Here is a 23,844-nt window from a genome sequence, read left to right as displayed (position 1 = left end):
TAGGAGGCCCCCAAAACCCCACCCCGTGCCAGCCAAGAGACAGACAGGGCAATGAGGCACCTGTGGGACTTTATTAGGTAAACAGACCCCAGCTCCAGCCACAGGCTTGGACCGGCCAGCTGACAGTGCGGCCTCAGACACCCCCGCCAGGTTCCCTCCTCCCTCCTCTCTCAGGGTCACCAGTGTGTGAAAGATCGGGGCATGCCGGCCACAGGGGGAAGCAGGGTTCAGGCTGCCCCACCTGGGTCTGGCCCTGGCAGGCGCCCCCTCACCTGGCTCTGCTGTGGGAGCCGAGAACAAAGACATCACCTGCCTGGCTCCTGCTGCCCCGGGGGCTCAGCCAGCACCCACCCTCACAGTGGCCTGGGCAGGGGCTGGGGTGCAAAGCCTCACCCTCCCCCTGTGAGCCAGACGGAAAATGCATCTCCCAAGAGTGTCTCGAGGGGCAGGAAGGAGGCCTGCCCCTCCCTAGCCAGTGCCTACAACAGGGGGTGCCCTGGGGGGCAGAACGGCCGACCCGCACCACAAGACATCCTGGGGGACAGAGGCCCTGGGCACAGCCCAGTCCCCACCCAGGAGCATATCCTAAATGTGCAGGGGCCGGCAAGGCAGGGGTGGGAGGGGTCCGCGGCCAGGCTCCGTGAGCTGTGGATCTCCCTGTGGACTCAGGATGGGGAGGGCTCGTCCCCACGCCCAGGCCCTTCCGCCTTCAGCCAGCACATCTTCTGCTGGTGCTGCTGGACAGCATCTTGCACGCGGGTGTCCATCATGGCCTCGGTCAGGACCCCGTCCTCGGAGGCATACGCCGTGGCCTAGTGGGGAGAGAGGCAGCTGAGGGAGGCCGCCATGGGAACCCCCCACCCCAAATGCACGCCAGGGCCCCGAGGTGGGGAGGGACCAAACCAGGGGCTCCAGGATGGCCTGAGCGTGAAACACAGGCTTCCCGCACCTCGGCAGAGCCCAGCACGTGTGTGGACACCGGGAGCAGCCCCTGCAGTGCCCACAGCCCTGCCTGCGTCCTCAGCACTGCTGTTGCTCAATGACTTTCTAATAATAGAAAGCCCAAGGCGGAGCCTCACTGACCGCCGACCCAGGGCAGCTTCCGAGAGGCAGGTGGGAACTGCAGACCCTCTGCGAGTCTCAGCCGTGGCCAGGCAGTGCCCCCGGGTCATAGTGCACCTCAGACCCTCAGACCCTGACCCTCACAGGCCTCCAGGGCAGAGGCAGCCACTGCCCACCTTGAGGCACATGAGTGGTGGCACCAAGGCCACCTCTGCCCCCACCTCCCTGTCCTCCTGAGCACAGGGCTTGGCATCTGGCACGTGAAGGCTGGAGCTGCTGGGGCTGTGGCCCTTGGTGTGGCTTCAGGCAGCCTCAGGTCCAGCCCTTCTGCAATGAACGGGTCACTCTCCATCCCAATGCCAGCGAAGGGCGTGGAGTCCCCAAGGGGAGGCACCCGTGGGTCAGGGTCAGGGTCAGGGTGTGGGGACCCCCACTGGGCACCGTGCTCAGGAGCGCACCAGGACACCTGGAGGAAGCACAGGGCAGGGGACCCTTCCTGGACAGCTGAGTGGGTCCCTCGCCCCGTCCCAGCTGTACCTCCCAGAGGCAGGATTCATCTCACGGGGTGCAGGGGCAGCAGCACACCATCCTCCCACAACACCGTCGCCACGACGGAACCTGCCATGGGGATGACCACGTGGTGCCCGTCCCCTCTGCAAGCGCCCACCCCTCACCAAGAGCCACTGTGTGGGGAGACACTGACCGGAGCCGGACCACCACTGTGGGTCGGGGGCCCGGGAGCGCAGGAGACACTGACCGGAGCCGCACCGCCACTGTGGGTCAGGGGCCCCGGAGTGCAGGAGACACTGACCAGAGCCGCACCGCCACTGTGGGTCAGGGGCCTGGGAGCGCAGGAGACACTGACCAGAGCCGCACCACCACTGTGGGTCCGGGGCCCAGGACTGCTCAACATCATTTTTGGTCTTGAGCGCACCCAAGAGAGGGCAAACAGGTGCAGGGACCCTCAGGGTCCACCCGAGTGGCTGCACCCCACCCAGGGCCCAGCAGAGGAAAGGGGCTATGCAGATGCTCACGGGGCCACCCCTCCAGGAAGCACGGGACCTGGCAGGAGCCCACCAGAAGTGACAGCTAAATGTCACGTGGCGTCCTGGGTGGGATTCTGGGGCAAAACCCAGTCACAGGTGGGTCCAACAGTGACACATGATGTTCACCACGTGGCAAGGTCCCAGGCCCAGGAAGTCTCTGTGCTACTCTTGCAACTTTTCTGGGAACCTAAAATCTTCAAACTATAAAAGTTGAAAGACAAGACCTGGACCTGATGTCTTCACATGTGAATTCACAAAACATTAAGAAGAATCAGTATCACTCCTCAAACTCTTGGACAAATTGAAGAACATTTCCTCACTCATCCTAAGAGGCCAGCATTACCCTCATATCAAAGCCAGACAAAGACACCACAAGAAAAATGACATGCCAATATCCCTGATAAGCATCGTTGGAAAAGTCCTCAACAAAATGCCAGCAAAACCAATTCAGGAGTATAATAAAAAAATTATACACCCTGACCAAGCAGGATTTATTCCTGGAATGCAAGGATAGTTCAACGTACAAAAATCAATCAATGTTCCACATAAAAAATGTTCAACATACAAAAATCAATCAATATTAGCCGAGTGGAGGAAGGAAACTACATGACCCTCTCATCTGATGCAGGAAAAGCATTCGACCAAATTCAAAACCCTTTTATGAGAAAAGAATTCAAGATGCCGTGCATGGTGGCTCACACCTGTAATCCCAGCACTTTGGGAGGACAAAGGGGGCAGATCACCTGAACTCAAGGAGATCCACTGCCTCAGCCTCCCAAAGTGCTGTGGTTACAGGTGTGAGCCACCGTGCCCAGCCCAAATTATTATTTTATTTTTTATTTTTTTATTTTTGAGACAGAGTCTTGCTCTGTCGCCCAGGCTGGAGTGCAGTGGTGCGATCTCGGCTCACTGCAAGCTCTGCCTCCCGGGTTCATGCCATTCTCCTGCCTCAGCCTCCCAAGTAGCTGGGACTACAGGCACCCGCCACCACATCTGGCTAATTTTTTTTTTGTATTTTTTATTAGAGATGGGGTTCCACCGTGTTAGCCAGGATGGTCTTGATTTCCTGACTTCATGATCCGCCCATCTCGGCCTCCCAAAGTGCTGGGATTACAGGCATGAGCCACCGCGCCCGTCCAGCCCCAGTTATTATTATTTTTAGTTTTCGTTTTCGTTTTTTGGGATGGAGTCTCACTGTGTTGCCAGGCTGGAGTGCAGTGGTGCAATCTCGGCTCTTTGCAACCTCCGCCTCCCGGGTTCAAGTGATTCTCCTGCCTCATTCTCCCAAGTAGCTGGGATTACAGGCATGCGCCACCACACCCAGCTAATTTTTGTATTTTTAGTAGAGATGGGGTTTCACCATTTGGCCAGATGGTCTCCATCTCTTGACCTCGTGATCTGCCCGCCTTGGCCTCCCAAAGTGCTAGGATTACAGGTGTGAGCCACTGCACCTGGCCTATTACTATTTTTTTAAGATGGAGTCTCACGCTATTGCTCAGGCTGGAGGGCAGTGGCACCATCTCAGCTCACCGCATCCTCCGCCTCCTGGATTCAAGAGATTCTCCTGGCTCAGCCTCCTGAGTAGCTGGGACTACAGGCATACACCACAAATGTGCCGGGGTAATTTTTGTATTTTTAGTGGAGGTGAGATTGGCCTTGTTGGCCAGGCTGCTCTCAAACTCCTGACCTCAGGTGTATGATATTCTCACTTCAGCCTCCCAACGTGCTGGGATTACAGGAGTGAGCCACCGCACTCGTTCCAAATTATTCTTAGTTTTTTTTTTTTTTTTTTTTTTTTTTTGAGACGGAGTCTCGCTCTGTCGCCCAGGCTGGAGTGCAGTGGCGGGATCTCGGCTCACTGCAAGCTCCGCCTCCCGGGTTCATGCCATTCTCCTGCCTCAGCCTCCCAAGTAGCTGGGACTACAGGCGCCCGCCACTACGCCCGGCTAATTTTTTGTATTTTTAGTAGAGACGGGGTTTCACCGTTTTAGCCGGGATGGTCTCGATCTCCTGACCTCGTGATCCGCCCGCCTCGGCCTCCCAAAGTGCTGGGATTACAGGCGTGAGCCACCGCGCCCGGCCATTATTCTTAGTTTTTAAGACAGGGTCTTGCTCTGTAATCCAGGCTGGAGTGCAGTGGCAATCACAGCTCACTGCAGCCTCCACCTCCTGGACTCAAGTGATCCTCCCACCTCAGCCTCCCAAGCAGCTGGCATTACAGGCATGTGCCACCAGGTCCAGCTAATTTTTTCATTTTTTGTAGAGATGGGGTCTTGCCTTGCTTTCCAGGCTGGTCCTAAACCCCTGGCTTCAAATAATCTAACTTGGCCTCCCCAAATGCTGGGAATACAAGCGTCAGCCACCACCATACCCGGCCTCTGCTTTCTTAGTTGTGGAAACAGACCTGGTTCCAAGTGGGGATGGCCTGGAACAGAGACCTCAGCTGACCCACAAGGACGGGGTTTGAGATCTGGGGCTCTTTGTCACAGTGGCATAACCCAGCCTGTACTGACTAATACAGCCCCCTGTGAACCCCGGCTCCAACATTCAAATCAAGGTACTCGGCTGCTTCATTAAGCTGTCACACGTTCATTCAAAAGCACTGCTAGATTGAGGAACCAGGTTGTTACACAGACTCTGCGGACCCCAGAGGTGGTGATGCCTGTGCGTGGCCAGGGTGCCTTCTGCCCCACCAACCTGGTTTTGCTTTTCCAGCAACCCCCAAAGACCAAAGCTTTCTGGATGGCCACGCCCACACTCCTGTGAGTCCTGGCTCCTCAGCCCTGGAGCAGCCACGGAGCTGCAGGAGGGGTGTCCCCGAAGAACAACTGGCTGTGGGACAACCAGAGGCCACTCCCACCCATGTGTCAAGCAGGACCAAGCCCACAGACTTGGTCCAGAAAACACAATGTCCCTCCACCCCGAACCCCCAACTCACATGGGGCCTGTCCTAACGACCATTTACACAGGGAGGTGCCTATTGGCCAAGGTGAGAGTCAGAAGCCTCCAGCCCCACCTGGCAAAGCTCGGGCTACGGCGATGCCAGACTGGCCTCCAGAGAGCCCCGGGTGACTGTCAGCCACCGACATGGCTCCACCCTCCTGAGGGCACGAGCAGGTGCGCGATGCCTCGTGGAGTGGCCTGACTGGGGCAGGGGGCCCTGTGTCACCTCTGTGCACTGAAAACCCCTCAACAGAAGCTCCCGCGTGACACCGGTGCTGGGACAGGCCTGGCGCAACTGAGCATCTCCACAGCAGCTGGGGTCCCGTCTGGGTGGACGTGCCGGAGCCTGACTCACCTGCCAGGACACGGCCAGCTGAGCGATCTCCCGGCCCGACATGCCCTCCGTCAGCCGAGCGACCTCCGAGCACTTCCTCCCGTAGTCAAACTGGGCCAGCTTCAGGCGCCTGGGGAAGGAGTTCCCAAGTGGGCCGGCCAAGGCAGCAGCTCCCACAACACGAGGTGGAGGCCGGAAGACAGGCAGCGAGGCCGACACCCACGCCAAACATCCTCTTTGGAGGGGCTCTCTACTTCTGACAGCCCAGCTCCACATCCTCCCTGCTGCAGGCCAGGCCCGGACTGAGCAGGGAGTGGCTGCAGGGCCTGGAGATGGCCCCAACCACTCCTCACACCAGCCCTGCCCACAGCTGCTCACTCAGCACCCGCAGGGCAGGTGGCCTTTATGCTGGCAGTGGCGGAGCCCCGACTTCTAGCAAAAGCGTCTGCCTGGAGGCCACAGAAGCCAAGTCATGGTGCCAGGGCTACGAGCAGCCATGGGGGTGGGGGAGCCCAGGGAAGGGGAGGGCATAGGGAAACTGAGGCCCGGAAAGCTGGGCTGGCATGGAGCAGGCGGCAGCGGCAACCAGGCTCTCTTTTGTCATCACTGGCGACAGCAGGGATTTGGGTCAGGTGCACAGAAGGACTCAGAAACCGGGGCCCGGGGGACGCCAAGAAGTGGAGCAGCCTCTGCTCATCTGGAGTGTTCCCGAGGCAGCCGGTGTGTGGTGCCAGGGCCCCTCATCACCTGGAGGGCTCTGCCCACCGTGCCTGCTGCACCCACCGCCAGCAACAGGGAGCCTGACAGCCTCAAGGCACGTGAGCAGCAAGAGCCGTGCCCCACACCACGAGGCTCCAGGGCCGGGTGTGGCAGCTGGAGGGAGGCCAGGCCAGAAGCCAGCAGTGGACCATGAGGAGCCTCTCCCTCCAGTCCCGACACGGGGGTCTCATGAGGAGAGACTCCTTCGAATCCCGACACGGGGGTCTCAGAGCAACACTCCGTATCACCTCCCCTCACAGCCAGGGCCTGGGGGTGGCCGAGCACAAGATTTCCTCACAGCCCTCCTCGTAGTGAAGAGGAATGGAAAAGACGCCGGGCGCGGTGGCTCACATCTGTAATCCCTGCACTTTGGGAGGCTGAGGAGAGTGAATCACTTGAGGTCAGGAGTTTGAGACGAACCTGGCCAACATGGTAAAACCCCATTTCTACTAAAAATTAAAAAAAAATTAGCCAGGCATGGTGGTGGGCGCCTGTAATCTCAGCTACTCAGGAGGCTGAGGCAAGAGGATTGTTTGAACCCGGGAGGCAGAGGTTGCAGTCAGCTGAGATCGTGTCACTGCACTCCAGCCTGGGCGACAAGAATGAGACTTTGTCTCAAAAAAAAAAAAAAAAAAGGAATGTTAAAGGTTTGTAAGTGATGGTGGACTGTGGGTCGGGGTGGACCCTGAGCGAGGGCCCCTGGACGGGGGCTGGTGGGGCGGGACACTTACTGCTTTCCTTCTGTGGCCGGCTTAAGAACATACTTGTCAAAATACATTCTCACCAGGCGCTCCCGTTCCTCCTGCCCTGGCAGGTCGAAGTGGACCATCTCATTGATGCGGTCATTGATGGCCCAGTCGAACTGCTCTGGTTGGTTGCTGGCCAGGACCAGCATGAACCTGCGGGGCGGGGATGAGGATGAGGATGCTGGGGCTGCCGGCCGAGCTGCACCAAGGGGAACGGGGCCTCCTCAGCCCCCACAGGGAGAACCTAAAGTGGCGGGAAACACGAGGACACGGGCACAGCCCTGGTCGGCCACCTGCCCCACTGCACCCAGCTGTCCCCCGGCCTGGCTTCCTGGGCCTCTGTTCTCCCTCCATATAGTGCTTTCCCGCTGACCCTCGCCCAGCCTGATAGGCAGTGCCGGGAACACCACTCTCTCCTGCTGCCTGACCCCTGCTGTGCTGGGAGCAGGGATTCGGGACCCGGAGTCCATGTCGAGAAGTCGCCCACACGTGCCAGGAGCAGGACCTCAGGGGCCCGGGTTCACTGGAGGCTCAGCAGGGCCCCAGCCTTGCCTCTCTGGGAAGGACCCGAGTCAGGGCTCCAGGGAGCATCCACCGGCAGCAGCTGACCTGGGAGCCCAACGTGCCTGAGGAGTCAGCCACGGCCGACCAGCAGGACTTGATCCTCCGTGTGACACGTGACTGGGGCTGGAGGGGCCCAGGAGACCAAGAAAACTCAAAATTAGGGGACTTGGGAGGGACTAGGGAGCCTGGCCATGGGGCGGTCACCCTATGGGGGACCTCTGGGCGGCAGCCCACAGAGGCCACACAAAGTCGGGTGGGCCCCAAGCCTGGAGGGTGCACCCTTGGCCAGCATCCGGGCGGGGGACCAAGGTCCCAGGTTCCGCCCCGACACACAGGACCTGCTGGTGTCCAACTTCCCGTGGGAGCAAACTTGTCTCCATCTCCCACCCCAGGGCACACACACCCTCCAAGGGAGACCCAGCAGAGCCTCACACGATGAGACCACCTCCCTTGCAGGCACAGGACCGCAGAAACCTAGGGGCAGAGGGACCTGCAAGCTGGGGCGGCGGCGCACAGGGCCGTGAGGACAGGACTGACCCCAGCTCTGCCCGGGAGGCCCCCGCATGTTCCTCAGTGACACCCCGTGCTGTCCCGAGCTGGGCCGTTCCCAGGGGACATCCGAGGTGGGCATGTTGAGGCCACGGCAGCTGCCCAGCACTGTGAGCCAGGGCCCCTCAGGTCCCTCGGTGGGAACCAAGGGCGACGGCTGCACAGCCCTGCCCGGGGGCCCAGGACCCGAGGGGCTCCCTCACTTGTTGCTGTGCTGGCCCGTGCGGTACAGGAAGGCGTTCAGTGTGGCCCTGAGGTCCTCGCTTATCTTCTCCTGCAGAGAGAAGGTTCCAGCCTTAGGCACCAGGAGCAAAGCCTTGTAAACAGCCACAGCAGAAAGTCCCACAGGCCTCCCTCCTGCAGGGAGCAGGGACATGGCGACACTTTCATGGATCTACTCTCAAAAGCCTGACCAGGGCCAGGGGCGGTGGCTCACGAATGTAACCTGGATTTTGGGAGGCTGAGGCGGGCAGATCACACGAGGTAAGGAGTTTGAGACCATCCTGGCCAACATGGTGAGACCCCGTCTCTACTAAAAATACAAAAATTAGCCAGGCGTGGTGGCGCACCTGTAGTCCCAGCTACGTGGGAGGCTGAGGCACGAGAATCACTGAAACCTGGGAGGCAGAGGTTGTAGTGAGCTGAAATTGCACCGCTGCACTCCAGCGTGGGCAACAGAGTAAAATTCTGCCTTAAAAAAAAAAAAAAGAAAAAGAAAAGAAAGCCTGACCGGGCACGGGGGCTCACATCTGTAATCCCAGCACTTCAGAACGTCAAGGGAGGCAAATCTCTTTAGCTCAGAAGTTTGAGCCCAGTCTGGGCAACGTGAGGAAACTCCATCTCTACTAAAATTACAAAAAAATTAGACAGGTATTCCACTGTGCCCCTGCAGTCCCAGCTACTCAGGCGGCTGAGGCAGGAGGATTGCTTGAGCTCCAGAGGTCGAGGCAACAGTGAGCTGTGATCGCCCCTGCACTCCAGCCTGGGCGACAGAGACCCTGTCTTAGAATGATAATTAAAAGGCTGGGCGTGGTGGCTCACGCCTGTAATCCCAGCACTTTGGGAGGCCAAGGCGGGAGGATCACGAGGTCAGGAGATCGAGACCATCCTGGCTAACACGGTGAAACCCCGTCTCTGCTAAAAACACAAAAAATTAGCCAGGTGTGGTGGCGGGAGCCTGTAGTCCCAGCTACTTGGGAGGCTGAGGCGGGAGAATGGCGTGAACCTGGGAGGTGGAGCTTGCAGTGAGCCGAGATGGGGCCATTGCACTCCAGCCTGGGTGATAGAGCGAGATTTCTTCTCAAAAAAAAAAAAAAAAAAAGCTGTTTTTCACACAAAGCTTACAGAGAAAAAGAAACTGAACAGAGGGCTGCAGCCTGGCCCAGGCAGACGGCTGTGCCCACCCCACCACCCCATTGTGGCCAGAGGCTTAGTGACACTCACGGTGGCTCGCTTCCGAAGGAAGGCGTCCGCTTCATCCACAAAGAGCAGGAGGCTGTGAACGAGAGGGAGGCCAAGCAGGGCGAGAGTGACACCAGGAGCAGCCCACAGCAGCGTCCGGCCGCGGCAGGAGCAGGCCAAGCAGGCAGATCCCCACGGGGTCAGGCTCTGCCCCATCAGCAGCCCTAAGTCCTGGACTCGACAGAAGCCGATCAGCCTGGCCTCTGGGCAGCTGACCACGGCCCAGCCTCAGAAGGCCGTGGGAAACCAACCACACACGGGGGCGACGAACTCCGCCCCACAGGCTTCACCCCCACCCGGCCCAGTGCAGCACTGGTGGCCGCTTAGAGTCCACGACAGGGACAGGTCTTCTAAAGTGAAAGGTCAAAGGCCAGAGGGGAGGGTGCCAACCATGAGCATCGTGGTTCCAACGAGGACAGCCGAGGCCACAAGGGTGCCCGGGCTGTGCCCTGCGCGGGGTCACTGTGGGACCTATTGAAGGGAGTGTGCCATGCTGTCTTCAGCTAACTTTCAAATGGTTCTAGAAAAGGCAACCAGTGCCCACGCCCACCTGCAGGCGTGTTGGGGGGAGGGCGGCTGTGGAGGAGCCTCCCCTGCAGCTGTGAAGACTCCTCTCCCCCTGCACCCACCCACCTCCCTTCTGCCCTGAGCCAAGTATCCCACTGGCAGCCTCCACACGCTGGGGGCCTCGTGTCCACCAGGGTCCACACTCAGGGGACTTTCCCTCCGAGGGACCCTCCACTGGGCCTCCTGCGTGGCCACAAGGACAGAGCTGCAGAAAGACAGGGTCCCCAAGAGACACCTGGACCCCCTTCCCAGAAGGCAGCCTGCTGGGCCGCAGCCAAGGGCCTGGTGCATGCTGTGGGGACGTCTCACCCGCGCCGGCTGGTATTGGCCCAGTCAAAGAGCTTGTGCATGGCGGTCACGCCTTCCCGCCCCATGGGGGCCACGTCCCCGCCTGTCATGATGGCGTAGTCCATGCCTGAGTGCAGGGCGAGTTTCTGGACAGGAAGAGTGAGGGGAGACAGAGCAGATGTTCCCTCCGCCTCTGCAAAGCCTGCACACTCCACCCGGAGTGTGGAGGCTCTGCCCAGCGTCCCTGCCTGGAAGCCACAGCCTGCCAGACAGGAGACGTCCCCCGCCTGGAAGATGGGAGGCGCTGCTGCCCACACCAGCACCCTGAGCCTACACGAGGGTGGGCAAAGGCCTAAGGGGGGTCCATTCCCCAGGCAGCTGAGCCCCCCAGACACCTGCAGGCAGGTGAGACCCCAGCGGCCCCTGGCCCACCTGTTCAGCCAGGCGCTCTCACCTTGGCAAACAGCGTCTTCCCGGTGCCTGGTGGCCCGTACATCAGGATGTTCCTGTACAGGCTGCGGTTCTTCTTGGTGTTCCTTGTTGCTATGGCGATGTCGCGCACCCGTGCTTCCAGGCTGGGCTGCCGGGGAAGACGGGGGTTTGGAGGAGACACTGTGCACCCATGGAAGCCTCAGGGGAAGGGGCTGCGGGAATGCCTGGGTGCAGACTCGGCTCCTCGGGAAGCCTCCCACCTCAGGGGCAGCCTATCTATCCCCAGCACGGTCCAAGCAGTCGCATCTCAGGACCCAAAAGCTCCTGGGTGCCACCACGAGCGCCAGCAAGGGCCACAGCCCGGCCCAGCTCCAGGGTCCCCTCCCTGCGCCTCCCCGGTCCCAGGCACACCGACTTACACTGAGCACAACACCCTCCAGCGCGTCCTGGGGTCGACTGAGGAGCCGCCGGCTGACCTGCCGGAGGGGAAGGGGAAGCGCCATCGGGTCACCTGCCACAGCCACGGAACAGCCACCAACGCGCACACACACGCTCGGTAACACGCAGAAACGGAGCTGCCCCAAAGCACAGCCAGGACCGGCCCGGAGCTGGAACCCTGCCCCGCCCGGAGACCAGGCGGCTATTGCTGGGATTAGGGGCATTTTCCGGTTCCTTATTGGCTTTTATTTTCTTAACCACCTACCCAGTGACCTGTGGAGAGCAGGCACCTCGGGGGCGGCGAGCGGCGCGGCTCCCCAGGGAGGCCACCAGACGCCGTGGCCTGTAGCAGCTTCCCTGATAGACGGCCGCACACCCAAGTCCCGGGTCTTGCAAGGACCCCGATGTGCTCCCAGGCCCCATCAAGAGCCCTGAGCAGGGGACACCGAGGCAGACAGGGGAAGGGTCTCACTGATGCAGACCCCTAAGGTACAGCGCCAGACAGGAAAACCCACCCGTGAAGCAGTGTGCGGGTGCCCGTTATCCGGGGAAAGGGAAGGGACGGGAGGGTGTGCGTGGGCTGTGCTCGTGGGGCAGAAGGGACTCAGCCAGGAACTGCACTCAGGGAGGGCCAGGCCTGCGCTGCTACCTGGATGGGGTGCCGCAGCGCCTCAAGCACCGTGATGCGGGACGTCTCCCTCACTAGGGACGGCTTCCCCAGCCGAGCCTCGATGAAGCGGCCGGCGACAAGCGTGGCATTCTTGGCTGAGTAGACCCCAACAGCCAGCAGCGTCAGCCCAGCCACCTGCAGCAGAGACACCGCACTGGCGCACCGGCCCCCACCGTCCCTCCCTCTTAGAGCAGGAGACGCACGGGGCTGCCCCCACCCTCTCTCCGCCCGAGGGAGAAGCACAGGGCCGTGCACTGGCCCCACAGGAACGCGAATTCCCGGCCCCGAATCCCACAGCCACGCGGTTACAGGAGGCAGGTGGGGCAGTCACAGCGCCCTCACTCAGGGCCATTTTCTCTGCAACTGGCAGCATAAATCCTAGAAAGCCTCGGTCGCTGAGCGGGGCCCTGGACAGACCCAGCCGGATGTCACAGGGCCACACCCTCTGGTACATTCTTGGCCACTAAAAATGGTACTTTATTCCTGGAAAACAAGACTAACCCAAAATCTCTAACTCGTTTTAAAAATCAATTAGGCTGGCTGGGCACAGTAGCTCAGGTCTGTAATCCCAGCACTTTGGGAGGCTGAGGCAGGTGGATCACCTGAGGTCAAGAGTTCAAGACCAGCCTAACCCACATGGAGAAACCCCGTCTCTACTAAAAATACAAAAAATTAGCTGGCCATGGTGGCACATGCCTGTAATCCCATCTACTTGGGAGGCTGAGGCAGGAGAATCTCTTGAACCCGGAAGGCAAAGGTTGCAATGAGCTGGACCCGCGCCACTACACTCCAGCCTATGCAACAAGAGCAAAACTCTGTCTCAAAAAACAAACAAACAAAAAATGAATTAGGCCAGGCCCGGTGGCTCACCCGTGTAATCCCAGCACTTTGGGAGGCCAAGACGGCTGGATCACTTAAGGTCAGAAGTTCGTGACCAGCCTGGCCAACATGGTGAAAACCCATCTCTACTAAAAATACAAAAATTGGCCGGGCCTGGTGGCACAGGCCTATATTAGCTGAGTGTGGTGACGTGAGCCTGTAATCCCAGTCACTTGGGAGGCTGAGGCAGGAGAACTGCTTGAACTGGGGAGGTGGAGGTTGCAGTGAGCCGAGATGGCACCATTGCACTCCAGTCTGACCACAGAGCAAGACCCTGTCTCTAAAAACAAACAAACAAAAGTCATCGGCGCATTAAGCAGCTCCGTCATGTCCTCACGTGACACGGTCTCACCAACATGGTGGCAACACCACCTGCAACATTCACCGTCACACTGACCAGGCCACCGGCAGGCGCTGCAGTCACAGCTCTGGGCGCCGGCACCACGGCAGAGCAAGTGCCCACTCAGTGCCGGGCACCTACCGTGTGCTGGGCGGGGTGGGGACGGAGGACACAGCCATGTGGGACGTGGGGCGCCACCACAGCAGGCCGGAGGCTGGGCACAAAAGAGTGAGGCTTTAAACGAGAGAAGAATCTGTGAACTTCAAACTCTCAGGGTTTTATAAGGAATAAAGAAGGTTTTTGCAAAATGGAGTCAGGGTTGCCTTCTGGTTTTTTTTTTTTTTTTTTTTTTTTTTTTTTTGAGAAGAAGCCTCACTATGTGGCCCAGGCTGGAGTGCAGTAGCGTGATCTCGACTCACTGCAAGCTCCGCCTCCCGGGTTCAGGTGATTCTCCTGCCTCAGCCTCTTGAGTAGCTGGGACTATAGGCGCCCGCCACTGCGCCCGGCTAATTTTTTGTATTTTTTTAGTAGAGACGGGGTTTCACCGTGTTAGCCAGGATGGTCTCGATCCCGATATCGTGATCCGCCCGCCTCTGCCTCTGCCTCCCAAAGTGCTGGGATTACAGGTGTGAGCCACGACTATCGACAATTTTTTTCTTGAGACAAGGACTTTGTCGCCCAGGATGGAGTGCAGTGCTGCGATCTCAGCTCAGTGCAGCTGCAACCTCCCTGGGCTTAAGTGATCCTCCTACCTCAGCCTCTTGAGTAGTGGGACCACAGGGGCTGCCACCACACCCAGCTAATATTTGATTTTTTGTAGAGATGGGGTCTCACTGTGTGGCCCAGGCTGGCAACTGCGTTTTCTTCTCCCAGCTTGAGAAGGGAGGAGAAGCCGAGGCCAGCAGGTACAACGTGGGCTTCCTCCCTGCTGGGAGAGCTACAGGGCTGTGCAGAGCCGGCAGGGACAGGACCTGGGGCTCCAGGAGGCCCCCACATGCTGCCCCTCAGCCACCTGCCAGCCCTGTTTTATGAGTATGTTTACCGTGGCTGTCACTTTGTCCCAGTCTGTCACAAAGGCACGGAATCCTTCCCCAAACAAGGTGCCAGCCGTCCTGCGGGGAAAGCAGTGGTGTGACCAGGAAGGACACGAAGATCCGTGCCACGCAGCGAGAGCAGGTTGAGGGTGAGGCCCTGACATGGCGGCACGGCCTTGCCAGGACAGAGGGGCAGTGCCCCCACCAAGGAGTCAGCCTACGGCGGCAAGGCCTGGAAGAGCTGGAGAGCGCCCTGGGACCAGCGACTCACACCTGCGGGGCTCCATCTGTGGCCGGCCCGGGCCTCGGCAGTGCTCACCTGATGGACTCCAAGACGGTCTGACGGTGCTCGGCCGCCTTCAGGCGGATCTGCTCGCGGATGATGTCTGCATTCTCCCGCTCGGCCTTGGCGCGCGCCCGGGCCTCGGCCTCCACTCGCAGCATCTCATTCTTGTGCCGCAGCTCCATCTCCCGCTCCACGGTGGCTGCCCCAGAGAGGCAGGGCAGCTCAGCACCATGCAGTGCAGCGCGTCCACCTCCACCCACACTGTGGACCGGCCCACGCCACGGACCGGCCCACGCCACGGACAGACCAACGCCACAGACAGGCCCATGCCACGGACCGGCCCACGCCATGGACAGGCCCACACTGCTGACAGGCTAAGGCCACGGACAGGCCCACGCCACAGACAGGCCCACGCCGCCAATAGGCTAAGGCCACGGACAGGTCCATGCCACAGACACACACAGACCTTGGTAGGGACAGCGCCACAGGCCGGCCCTGCCCATGGATTAGGGCAGAAATCCGACCCAGAGGCCTAGGCAACTTCTCAGGACGAGCTCTTTGAAGCAAAAAACCAGAACGCGGAGTTCTGAAGGAAGCCCCCCTCACACAGAAACACAGCTGTCAGAACTCAGACACGCGTGACGTGCCACGTGCCTGGCTACTGAACATTAAACGCACACACCTCGCCACAAGCCCACCCACGGTGAAGAGTGGTGACAGACGTTTGCCTGGAGCACTCGCCAACAAATGCCACATGGCACCAAATACCTGTGATCCCCACTGAAACCAGGACAGTAAAGACCCATGTTCTAGGCAGAACGCAGAGGCTCACGCCTGTAATCCCAGCACTGTGGAAGGCCAAGGCAGGCGGATAATGAGATCAAGAAGTTCAAGACCAGCCTGGCCAACACAGTGAAACCCTTTCTCTACTGAAGATACAAAAAAATTAGCTGGGCGTGGTGGCGGGAGCCTATAATCCCAGCTACTCGGGAGGCTGAGGCAGGAGAATTGCTTAAACCTGGGAGGCAGAGGTTGCAGTGAGCTGAGATCGTGCTATTGCACTCCTGCCTGGGTGACAGAGCGAGACTCCGTCTCAAAAAAAAAAAAAAGGCCCCTGTACTTCCCATGAAGTGAAGCAGCTCCTGCCCTCCCTGAACAGATCCTGGCGTCCACTCGCAGACAGAGGTGTCTTCCGAGAGGCAGCCCCACCCCGCGGAGCCCCAGCAGGCCTCGCCCACTGCACTGGTAGCTATGAGGGGCCGGGCGGCAGAACTCAGGCTCAGAGTGCACGCCGGGTCCACAAGCAGCCCCCGCCACCTCCGCCCCAGCCAGGAGAGCAGACAGCCTACCTCGCCGCATGGCTTCCTGCTTCTGCACGGACTCCTCCTGCTTCCGTAAATTCTCCTCATTGAGAAGTTGCTGAGAAGAAGCCGCAGAAAAAGAGAAAAGCCTTTAAAACCTGTGACTGTGCCCATGTGTGCGGGGGATGACTGTGCCCGAGTGTGCAGGGGGGTGAGTGTGCCCGTTTGCGGGGTGTGACGGTGCCCGTTTGCGGGGGGTGACGGTGCCCGAATGTGCAGGCGGGTGACTGTGCCCATGTGTGTGGGGGTGATTGTGCCCATGTGTGGGTGGGTTGTGCACCCGTTTGGGTGTGTGTGTGTGTGTGTGTGTGTACCCGTGCGGGGGGTGGGGGGGTTGTGCGTGCCTGTGGGGGGGGGTGTGTACGCCCGTGTGTGGGTGTGTGCCCATGTGCGGGTGTGTGTGTGTGTCCCTGTGACGGGAAGGCGTGTGTGCCCGTATGTGTGTGTGGGGTCTGTGCGCCCATGTGGGGGGGTTGTGTGCGTGCCCATGTGTGCGGGGGGGCTGTGCCCATGTGTATAGGGGGGTGTACGCGCGCCCATGTGTGTGGGTGTGTGTGTGTCCGTCTATGGGGGGGCATGCCCATGTGTGTGTGGGTGTGCGCCTGTGTGTGTGGGGCTGTGTGTGTGCCCGAGTGCGCGGGTGCCAGTGAGCCTGTGGGGGGTATGTGTGCGCCTGTGTGTGTGTGGGGGGGTACGTACCTGTGTGTGGTGTGTGTGTGCGTATCTGTGTGTGTGTGTGCGGGGTGTATGTGCGTACCTGTCTGTATGGGGGTGTGTTTACAGGTGTGAGTGTCCATGTGGGTGTGTGCCTGCCCGTGTTGTGTGGGGGTATGTTTGCGGGTGTGTGAGTGCAGGCCTCTGTGTGGGGGTGTCTGTGTGTGGGCCCGTGTGTGCAGGGGTGTGTGTGTGCCCGTGTGTGCAGAAGTGGGTGCACCTGTCTGTGTGTGCTGGGAGTGTGTGTGCGAGGAGTGTGTGTCCGTGTGGGTAGGTGCCTGTGTCTCCATGTACATGTGTGCACACGTCTGCATGTGTGCCTGTACACGTGTGCTGGTGCGTGTCTGTCCGAGTAGTTTCCCCTGCTCTAGCACCCACCGTCAGCAACCCCAGCGTTCTTGCCCCGTGGCCTCTGACCCACTGACTGGTCCCACAAAGCCACCTACGTTCTCAGGGACGCAGGCGCCTCGCAGGGGAGGCTGAGCTCACCTGCTGCTTCAGTTGGTCCTCGTAGCGCTGCCGGGCCAGCTTGTCTTGATACTGGGCCCTCTGGGGGAGAAGAGGGCGGCAAAGACACATCTCAGCCGGGAGCTGCAGTCTGGGCCGACTGGGCGGAGCGCCGGGGACTCCGACGCGCCATCAGCCTCACACAAACGTGGGGAGGCGCGGGGACCTCCCGTCCGGCTCAGCAGTGAGGGACCTTACAGGTCTTAGGCGTTTGTGCAAGGCCGTTCCGAGGGCAGCTCTAATGGCTGACTCCAGAGTGCCCCGGGACCACACCCAGCTCCCAGTCCTGCCCCAGGCCGCTCCCCGCAGCCGGGCGGCCTCCCTCGCGGCCTCTTGCGCTCTTACGGCCTGGTGCTGCCGGGTCTCCTCGCTCAGGGTCTTCCTCCTCTCCTCAGCCTGCGCCCGGATCTGCTCGCTCTTGAGCTGCTCCACGGCGGCCTCATACTCCTGCAGAGCACAGCACTCACCAGCTGGCACTTGCTCAGGGCTGGCACTGCCTGACAGCCGCTCCTGTGTCTGCACGGCTCCGGCACGGCAGAGACTCCATGCCCAGACTAGTGTGTGCAGCAGGCTCAGGGCTTCCAGCCGCATCTGCACCCAGGATCAGGCCCTGGAGGAATCCAGACCCACAGGCACAGAAGCACCAGCAGAAGCCCGCGAAGGCCCCCCGGGAGGGAGGCCGGACACCCCCTTTTGGACTGCACTGAGGGCAGAGCTCATGCTTATTTTAGGAATCCTGCTGAGTGGACCGGGTGCGACGGCTCTCGCTTATAATCCCAGCACTTTGGGAGGCCAAAGTGGGTGGATCAACTGAGGTTAGTAGTTCGAGACCAGCCTGAACAACATGGTGAAACCCCATCTCTACTAAAAATACAAAAATTAGCCAGATGTGGTGGCGGGCTCTTGTAGTCCCAGCTGCTCGGAGGCTGAGGAAAGAGGTTGAACCCGGGAGGTAGAGGTTGCGGTGAGCTGAGATCACGCCACTGCACACCGGCCTGGAAGACAGACTAAGACTCTGTCTATAAAAAAATAATAATATGAAACAAGGCAGGCACAGTGGCACAAGCCTGTAATCCCAGCACTTTGGGAGGCCGAGGCAGGTGGATCACTTGAAGTCAGGAGTTCAAGACCAGGCTGGCCAACATGGTGAAACCCCGACTCTACTAAAAATATAAAAATTAGCCAGGTGTGGTGGCGGGTGCCTGTAATCCCAGCTATTCAGGAGGCTGAGGCAGGAGAATTGCTTGAACCCAGGAGCGGAGGTTGCAGTGAGCCCAGATGGCACCACAGAACTCCAGCCTGGGAAACAGAGACTCCGTTTCAAAATAAATAAATAAAACGAAATAAAACAAAAAAATCCTGCTGAGTGTAATGAAATGAGAAGATCCAGGCCATCCGGACGACCAGACGCCCTCACCAACACCGGCCCTCCCTCCGGACGACCAGACGCCCTCACCAACACCAGCCCTCCCTCTCGGGCGGCTCTGCGGCAGCGTCTCTCACCTCCCTTTGTTTCCTTCTGTGAAATGAGGCGCCCAAGCTTGGCCCTGGGCCCCACTGCTGCCCATGTACACACCCCCGGCCCTACCCACCGGCAGTAGCCCTACCAATCTCCATGCCCGAACCCCATGTGCGCCCCGGCCTCCCCACCCACACCGGCCCCACTCACTTTGAGCTTGGACTGTTGCTCCAACTGCAGCGTCTGCTCCTGCATCTGTGCCAGATTCAGGGCGTCCTTGGCATAACCTGCAGACGCAAGGACACGGAGGGCAGGTGTTAGGATACACGGATGCCGCTGGGCAGGCACGCACACCAGCCAAGGGGCTTTCTGGAATCCACGGCCACGCCTCGACCTCAAAGCCCCCAGCCCTGCCTCCCCATCCTCCTTCCTAGTCAGACCTGGCGTGACGATGCACCATCCCCAGCACACGGCCTGATGCATTTGTGAGGTTTTATCCCCCCAGGGATGGTCTTGGAGAGCCACATCAGGAAGGCCATCCCACGTGGACGGGAGGAGGCTCTTTCCCAATTCAACAGAAAGTCAGGCGATGGCTAAAGTGTCCTCTATTTTTTCACGTTACATTCGCTTTTCCTAAGCTTCCAATGGCTGTTGTCATTGATCTGCTATCAAGCACATGCAGGCAAGAAAGGGAATGAATAAGAATAGGATACCAGCCAACAAGCTCAGGGTGACGAGGACAAGCATCTGACAACGTCCTCAGTTACGTTTTGTTCCTAGAGGGGAACTGACACAGGTCGATGTTTGGGTGTCGTGGGACAGAAGTACGTATTCTCTGAGCTGCTGAGGCCTCAGCATCAGGTCTCAAAATTTTCTGGGATGACAGTTTTCCCATCATAAAACTTTACCATAAAAATCTTTTGGCTGGGCGCGGTGGCTCACTACTGTACTCCCAGCACTTTGAGAGGCTGAGACGGGTGGATCACTTGAGTCCAGGAGTTAGAGACCGGCCTGACCAATGTGGTGAAACCCCATCTCTACTAAATATACAAAAATTAGCTGGGCGCAGTGGCGGACGCCTGTAATCCCAGCTACTCTGAGGCTGAGGTGGGAGGATGGCTTGAACCCCGGAGACAGAGGCTGCAGTGAACCCAGATCGCACCGCTGCACTCCAGCTAGACAGAGAGAGACTTAAAAAAGAAAAATCTCCATCCGGGCCAACATGGCGAAACCCTGTCTCCACTAAAAAGACAAAAAAAGAGCAGGGCACAGTGGTGCACGCCTGTGATCTCAGCTACTTGGGAGGCCAAGGCTGGAGAACTGCTTGAACCCAGGAGGTGGATGTTGCGATGAACCGAGGTTGCACCACTGCACTCCAGCCTGGGCGACGGACGGCAACTCCATCTCAAATAAATAAATAAACATATAAATCTGCTAACACAGAAAGACACGTAAAGTAGGCAGGGACCCCCGATGCTCCTGGGTTGGTGCGTTGTTCCCGTCTCTCTTCCTCCCGCAGCCCGTCTCACTTTTTTAAGCCTTCAGAGTCAACTGCAGCAAACACGTCACTAACTAGAGCCCAGCGTCTGTTCTCAGCTCAGGTGTAATTTTTGGAGGTGACTGACGCAGGGGGAAGTGCCGTGGGGAGCACTCGTTGCATTTAGACAGAGGCAGCGACGCTTTGGTGTTGGGGTGGGTCTGCTTGGGCCTGTGGTTAGGCACGAACTGGGCTGACGGGCATCAGTGTCAGATTTCAGGAAGCGCCTTGGTAGCTAACCTCGGGGGCCCCAGTGAACAGAGCACAGATGAGACCGGGACCTGCCTCTCAGGGAAGACAGTGCCAGGTCAACGGGTTTGGCTGCTAAGCTCGGGAAGCCAAGGGCTGAAGCGACCCCGGGCTCTCAACCACTCTCACTCTGACCCCGAGGGGACTGAGGGTGTGTCAGTCACCCAGGGTCCTGCCACAGAGCAGTGACAGGAACGTGGGTGTCACGGTGAGGAGCTCTGCCTGTTTCCTCCCGAGGGGACCTTTGGCTGGATTAAGCTGAGGCCACTCCCTCCCCTGAAAATGGCTCATTGACAGTTCCTACCCCCAGTGACTCTGGGGAGGAGGAGAGGGGAAAGAGCAGGTCAGGTGCCCGTGTGGCCTCTCGGTTATTAGAGTGAGAACAATCATTCACCACTTTGGTGTGACCCTGTGCCAGGGACGTGCGTCCCAGCGCGTGAATTCACACCCACAGGGCACGAGGCTCTCCTCCAGGCACCCCCTCTGTGGAGTGCAGGGCGAGCGCTGGTGCTCACAGACAGTTCTGGGATAATGTACTGCTGTGACTTCCAAGGACAGGCCGGAGGAGGGGTCAGGGCACTCTGGGAACCAGGCGGCATGGGGCTATAGCCTCAAGGGACAGAGGAGGCAGTCGGTGAGGAGGAGCCGCCCGTTTGCCTGGAGAGCAGCAAGGACAAAGCAATGGGCTCCGGCCGAATCTCGGCGACCCGCTGCCAGGAAAGGGGCACGGAGGAAGCCAGGAGCGTCGGGAGGGGCCGGGCTTGCAGAGGGGCTACCAGGCAGAGGGGCAGGGCAGGGGGCACCCGGGGAAAGGGGGCAGTCAACTCTGGAGAAACCTCTCTCACCTGCCAGCAGTGAGGCCAGGAAGGAGGGAAGGGATCAGAATGAAAGAGCCCACACCTGGAACACAATCCACAGGAAACAAAAGCCTGATGGAGGGCTCCCCACGGTGCACCTGGAGACCCTGCCCCGGGCCCCGCTCCACCACAGAGAGGGCAGACCAAGGCACTGGCAACGCCGGCAGAGCGGACTGCGGGTCAGGAGCTCCGGGGCCGCCAGGACTGGAGCAACTCAGAGGCACAGGTCTGCACTATGGGGAGGCGGCCTGAGGCTGCTCAACCAGGCCTGTACCACTGCAGGGGGCCGCAGGCTGATCACTACGATTCAGCTTCTGGAAGTGGGAGAAGTTTCAATCTCTAAGTGAAGTTAGCGGGTGAAAACCCCCAGGAACTAGGACACAAAGGAACCCTCCAAATAAGCCTGCAGCAAGAAAGTCAGTCACCAACATCCGCTGTCCTCCGAGGTGCCCTGAAGTCCAGCCCTTGATTCCCATCCTAACCTGATGGTTAAAATTACCGAGGAAGGCCATGAGCAGCGGCTCACGCCTGTCATCCCAGCGCTTTGGGAGGCCGAGGTGGGCGAATCACCTGAGGCCAGAATTCAAGACCAGCCTGAACAACATGGTGAGTGCTCACACCCTGAGGGCCTTGGGTCAGGGGTTTACTCAAGCTGAGCAGCACGGCCTGGCCTGTGGCTTCACAGACCTCGCCGTGCAAATGCTAACGTCTTCCAACAAGAAGTGCAAATCTGCTAGTCTCGTTAGAATCAAGTAACTCTCAAATACGCTTCCCTTGTTACGTGGAAACTGCTAGCAACCACCCAACAAACCCATCTACCCATCTGGCCACGCCTTGGCCTGTGCCACGTGGAGGCGGCAAGCGCAGAAGGATCCCGCACGCTCGGCGGTAACTGAAGACCACGGCCAGCCCCAGACCCTGACCCCTGTAACCTATGAGCGCCACCTCCGCACCGCTTTCCGCACCTGACCCGCTCCTGACAGCTGCAGAGGTGCAAACGGGTGACGGAAAGAGTCCGATCCTCCCGGCACGCGACACGGCTCCGGCCGGGGGTGCTCCGGGGGCGCAGTCTCGCCCGGGAAGTGGCTGCCGACAGCGGCGAGGAGCGGCAAGGGCCAGGGCTCCCGCTTCCCCGGCCCGTCCCGCCCGCCCGCCCGCGCCGCCCCGCCCCGCCGCACTCACGCGAGTGCTCCAGCTCGCGCGCCGCCTTGGCGGCGCGCTCCAGGCCGGTGGGGTCGAAGTTGCTCCATTTGTCCTTGGGCGCCGGCCGGTCTCCCAACCCGCGGTCCCCGCCGCCCTCGGCCCCGGGCTGCGCGGGCGGCAAAGGCGGCGGCGGCCCCGCGCCTTCACCCTTGGGGCCCTTGTTAATGCCGAAGAGCCACGACATGCTCGCACCGCCGCCGCCGCTACCGCCGCCGGGACCCCCACCCGAGTCTGACTCGCGCGCGGCTGGGAGCAGCCTCCACGCGCCGCGAGCCGGTGGTCACCGCCACTGCGCAGGCGCCACACACACCCCTTCCTCCCGGCGATAGAAGCGCGTAAGGGACACGCGCGCAGCCCTTGGATTGGCCCCGAGGACAGTGACGCCATAGCGACGGCGCCGCGACTGCCGAACAGGCTTTGGGAGCCAGCGGGGCGGGAGCGGCGAAGCATCTGGCTACGGGAGCCACGCCGGGACAAAATTCCCGAGGGACGTAGGCGAACCCAAGGCAGCGTCAGCCCCGCGCCGCATCCGCGTGGGCTCCGTTGCTAGGGGCTCCGTTGCTAGGGGCTCCGAGGAGTTCCGGCCTTGGCGGCAGCGGGTGGCAAGTTTCCAGGGAGCCCCAAGGTTCTCGATCCGTGCGGCGGGGCGCCCTGCGGTGAGTCCAGGACGCAGAGAAGAGTCTCGCGGGAACCTCACCCGAGGCGGCACCGGCGCCCGGGCAAGCCGAGCCCTTCCGCGATGAGTCGGCGCCCTGGGGTCGCTGCGCCAAGAGCTCAGGAGAGGCGCCTCCCCTCCTCGGTGTCTCCGCAGCCCGCACGGCCCTCCCGCCCAAGACCCCGGGGCGACCCCTTCCCGCGTGGCGGGGCCAGCGAGCTCCTCTTGCGGGGCGTGGACGGGGCCGGGGTGCCCGGGCAGGCGCCGCCCCGGAGCCCACGGTCCACGCGCTCCCAGCGGCCCTGACTTTCTCCTTGATGGAACTGGTTGACTTCACGGAATATATGGAGTGACTTTTCCCACTGGATTGGAAACTGTTTTAAGCCTGAATAATGTTAGATACAATGAGTTCTAAACTTCCCTTCAAAGAATCAGTATATCAGTATGTTCAGTCTTTGTCCTGCATTTTAAAGTCTACCTTCCTCGCAGTTTCAGTAAACAACCTTTTCCACCAGTTCTAGTCAGTAGTTGACATCTGTTGCCCTGGTCACCTGCTCCGTCCTAACTAATCCCGGTCTCCTGCTTTGACCTGAGTCACCTTTAGTTACCTGTCCCATAACCATTTTTCCCGCCAAACCACTCACCCCGCCACTCTGGCCCATACTCCTGCTCCCTTTAAAATAGCCAATGGGCACTAGTTTAGACTGTGCATTCTAACCCTAGCCAATAGGGGAACCACACAGCAGTAGGGGCTACCCGCGTCAGGAATAAGAACCCCTTCCCCTCCCTTGTCCAAGCGCTCGCCATTGCTCCATCTATGAGATGTCCCCTTCTATAGAAGTAAATTATCTAGCTGAGAAAAATTTATATTCGAGTTCTACTTCTTTGGCGGCACAGAAAATTT

The 23,844-nt window shown here is 59.9% G+C and overlaps 1 protein-coding gene across 6 annotated transcripts, besides 3 other annotated features; it reads right to left on the bottom strand.

Moving 5' to 3' along the window:
• ATAD3A (ATPase family AAA domain containing 3A) lies at window positions 53–22,576 on the bottom strand. Of its 6 annotated transcripts, XM_047424288.1 has the most exons (17): window positions 22,265–22,576; window positions 18,880–19,104; window positions 18,650–18,726; window positions 17,326–17,427; window positions 16,963–17,022; window positions 15,748–15,817; window positions 14,432–14,597; window positions 14,121–14,190; window positions 11,839–11,994; window positions 11,171–11,227; window positions 10,774–10,899; window positions 10,341–10,465; window positions 9,447–9,498; window positions 8,207–8,277; window positions 6,876–7,043; window positions 5,407–5,515; window positions 53–812 (listed from the first exon to the last, which is right to left on the bottom strand). In XM_047424288.1, the coding sequence occupies exons 2-17, from the start codon at window positions 18,920–18,922 to the stop codon at window positions 666–668; spliced, it is 1,599 nt and encodes a 532-aa protein (XP_047280244.1). In that variant the 5' UTR covers window positions 18,923–19,104; window positions 22,265–22,576; the 3' UTR covers window positions 53–665. The 6 variants fall into 6 exon arrangements, with proteins under 6 accessions (XP_047280244.1, NP_060658.3, NP_001164006.1 ...); NM_018188.5 differs by lacking the exon at window positions 18,880–19,104 and having other exon boundaries at window positions 17,326–17,571; NM_001170535.3 differs by lacking the exon at window positions 18,880–19,104.
• Window positions 22,459–22,618: a silencer, noted in NCBI's record as "silent region_77". NCBI's record gives its function as "represses an Ori minimal core promoter by ATAC-STARR-seq in GM12878 lymphoblastoid cells {active_cell/tissue: GM12878}" and the evidence as "EXISTENCE:reporter gene assay evidence [ECO:0000049][PMID:35858748]".
• Window positions 22,769–22,828: an enhancer, noted in NCBI's record as "active region_23". NCBI's record gives its function as "activates an Ori minimal core promoter by ATAC-STARR-seq in GM12878 lymphoblastoid cells {active_cell/tissue: GM12878}" and the evidence as "EXISTENCE:reporter gene assay evidence [ECO:0000049][PMID:35858748]".
• Window positions 23,069–23,268: a silencer, noted in NCBI's record as "silent region_76". NCBI's record gives its function as "represses an Ori minimal core promoter by ATAC-STARR-seq in GM12878 lymphoblastoid cells {active_cell/tissue: GM12878}" and the evidence as "EXISTENCE:reporter gene assay evidence [ECO:0000049][PMID:35858748]".

This window comes from Homo sapiens, chromosome 1 (assembly GCF_000001405.40).
Source record: "Homo sapiens chromosome 1, GRCh38.p14 Primary Assembly".
NCBI lineage: Eukaryota > Metazoa > Chordata > Mammalia > Primates > Hominidae > Homo > Homo sapiens.
This window is presented reverse-complemented; position numbering and strand designations above follow the sequence as displayed.